This window comes from Homo sapiens, chromosome 3 (assembly GCF_000001405.40).
Source record: "Homo sapiens chromosome 3, GRCh38.p14 Primary Assembly".
Classification (NCBI taxonomy): Eukaryota; Metazoa; Chordata; class Mammalia; order Primates; family Hominidae; genus Homo; species Homo sapiens.
Window position 1 is genome coordinate 81205343 of NC_000003.12, and position 3490 is coordinate 81208832.

The following is a 3490-nucleotide window of genomic DNA, read 5'->3' on the forward strand; positions in this document are numbered from 1 at the left end:
TATATACACAGCATTTTAAAGTAATTTCTAGATTAAGCTTTCATACACTTAGAAAGTAATAGCCCTGTGGCCTTCTCATTTCTAAAATACATTCAACAGCTTTAGTTTTTCTGTGAAAATCCTTTTCCTAACCATATAAGTCCCATTATTTCTTGAGCCTTTTATGGATTTTGTCAGTTTTTAACTGATGCATCTTACTGGGCATGCTCACTAGAAATTTAAAATAAGGTTAATTCTTAAGAAGTATCATTGAAAAGTTAAATCTTCTATATAAAAATTAATTTTTTTTCTGTAGATTTCTGTTCGAGATAGGGCAATTCTAGGTCATCTAACATATAAACTCCCAAACATTAGCGGGTTACATAATAGAAGTTCACTTCTTTCCCATGTGACAGTCCACTATTGGTGTTCTTTCAAAACCAAATTCCCACAGGGCGATTCACAGACTCCACCCCTTAACCCCCCACAACTCTTTCTAATAAGTAGCTCCATCTTCCCACAGGGCAGCAGTAATCCAGCACCACAGAAAATATTCAAGACTTTTTTAGTGATTTCGTGAGTTAATTTTTGTAATAATACTGAAATGTTATCTGTCTTTTTTATTCTCACCCCGATGAGCTAACTGTCACATTCTCCATAACTGTATGATATGTGATAACTTAGTCACTTGAATGAAGAATAAGAAAGACAGTAATCAGATTTTCAAAATGTAAAACAATGCCAGTTTTCTATTTTTTTGAAATATAGTTATATGTCATAAACATGGATTATGTTTACATAATGGGTATTTGTTTTATAATAAATGTGTTAAAATACTTTTTTAAGAATTTCTCAATTGTCATTTTGAATACCATAAGTACTGATGGACTATAATCCAGAAATAAAAAAGCTCTTGAGATCTTCAATATTCTTTAAGGATATAGTGGGATCTTGAGACCAAAAATTTTGAGAGCTGCTATGAGACGGTAATAGATATTTTCTTTTCTGGTTGTGTTAAGGAAAGAGAGAGTGGGGAAGATATAACCACATCTTAAGCTCCATGGCATAAAAGTGGAATCTATCAATTCTGATGCGATCCAATGGTAAGAACTAGCATGTGGTCCATGGTAAAGAAGGGTGAAGGTTCTAGGAAACAAAAGCCCTGTCAGGCAGCCACTCCAGAGCTACAGTTCGATGCTCTGGAAAGAGGAGCACAAATCTTTGGTAGACAGACAACTGTCAGTTCCATAATGTTCAATACAACAGTCATTATTCTCTTGGAAACATATTTAAATCATTTGGAAGAAAATGCCTTAGTTGAGTTTTCTGTATGCCCCCTTATAAAGTAGATGAATCATTCTTCTTTAAATAACGTAGCCATTTTCCAAAAGCAAGATAAGCAAGCCCAACAAAGTGCGTAAAAATTATCCAGGTCATTAAAGAGGTAGATATATCACACTGTGCAGCGTTTACCATAGAAAGTTGTACAGGTTGTTCATCGAATAAAGTTGACAGCCACAGAGCTCCTTGGAAGCTGAAGTCCAGCCAGATCCTCTTAGCAAACTATTCACCCTGGTACTTGCCAGTTTCACCCCCAAAAGAAGCACACTTTATTTTTTTAAGAAAAGCTCAAATTTACTTAATGGTATGCTTTTATGTAATTTGCACAAAGGCATCATACAAGCCATAAGCAGCCCTGTCTGCTGACTCTATGAAGACAGACATTTTAAATGTCTAAATTAGTTCCTGATACATAGTAAAAACTCAATGGATATTTGTTGAATAAATACACAAAAGCATTGAGCCATGGATCGATATGTAACTAGAAAGATGCTTATAATGGCATAGTTTAACACTCTGTCATTGACCTTGAGACTAGTCAACATTTTTATTAAAGCCTTAGCTATAGAAAGAGAAATAATAGGCCAGGCACGGTTGCTTACGCCTGTAATTTCAGCACTTTGGGAGGCTAAGGCGGGCAGATCACGAGGTCAGGAGATCGAAACCATCCTGGCGAACACTGTGAAACCCCGTCTCTATTAAAAATACAAAAAAAATTAGCCGGGCTTGGTGGCGGGTGCCTGTAGTCCCAGCTACTCGGGAGGCTGAGGCAGGAGAATGGCGTGAACCCGGAAGGCGGAGCTTGCAGTGAGCCGAGATCGCGCCACTGCACTCCAGCCTGGGCGACAGAGCGAGACTCCGTCTCACAACAAAAAGAAAGAGAAATAATACTGATTAAATTTTCAGATGACCCACATCTGAAAAAAAAAATTTCAAAGGAATTGATGACAGTATCAAGGTTCAAAAATAAAAATGACAGGGTAAATAATTAGGGCCCTCACTAACACAAGTCAACTTAATCAAAATAAATATCTTGCTTGTACACAGAATAAAAATCAATTTTCTAAGTGTATGCATCTTGACAAAAAGTAGTTTATATTTTTTAAAAGCTTTAAATGCTTTTGTTGACTAAAATTATAAAAGTAATTAACAATATGATGTAGTGCGAAAAATAGCAAATGATTAATTAACATATCCAAACTTAAAGTAGACTGATTTGCCATTATACGTCTTAAGTATTATATCCAGTTTGAGATGTCATACTTTAAAAGCTTGGGTTTTTTCATAAAGGCAGAGTTTTTCCAGAGCAATACTTGGCCTACAGAGATAGAACGAGGGGGAAACAATTAGCGTTTATTCAGTATTTGTCAAGCAAGTGACAATTGTTACCATCTCCTGTGGAGGAGTCCAATGAGGGGAGGATAGTAAAGAGGATAACAGTGCCTACCACTGGGAGCAGCAGTCATGGAATGTTAACCTACTGCATGGTTCGCAGGTGTTGGGATCTCCAAGAAAGACTCACACGAGTACTGGATGGAACAATGCTTTACTATCATATAGAAGAAACAGAGAAAGCCCAGTTTCAACAGTGAGTATCAGTTCAGTTTCTTATGATCAGCGGGTCTCGTCCCACAGTCGACACAGGAGATGACTTGCACGCACCCGTCTTGGGCAGCAGGTGAAGGACCCCATTTCCTCCCAACCAGGAAGAGACATAGCAGGGGATGCCATATGATGAACATGCTTAAGCAGAACAGAAGAATACACATCACGTCTGGAACAGGAAAAATATTCCCAAACAAAGAGATACACCCAGCACAGGCTATGAAAGCTTTCTATCTCTTTTTAAGAACTGGTTCCAGACCCAAAGCACATTCTTAGCCAACCATGCAAGAATTAAAAGACCACATACCCATGATGGCCTTTCGCAGCAATATTTATCTTCAAATATTTGAATAATTGTTTTTGTTGTTGTTGTTTTTGCTTTTTGTTTGTTTGTTTTTGTCTTCCAAAAGAAGTCCAACCTTACTTTGAGTCACTCCAGATGGTAGGACCTGAATTTATACTGGAAAGGTACATGGAAGCATACTACACCTCAAAATAAGAAAAGGTGTCAAACAAATCTATCAGAAACCAAAATGGGCCATATTTAAATAATTGTGCTTTTTCT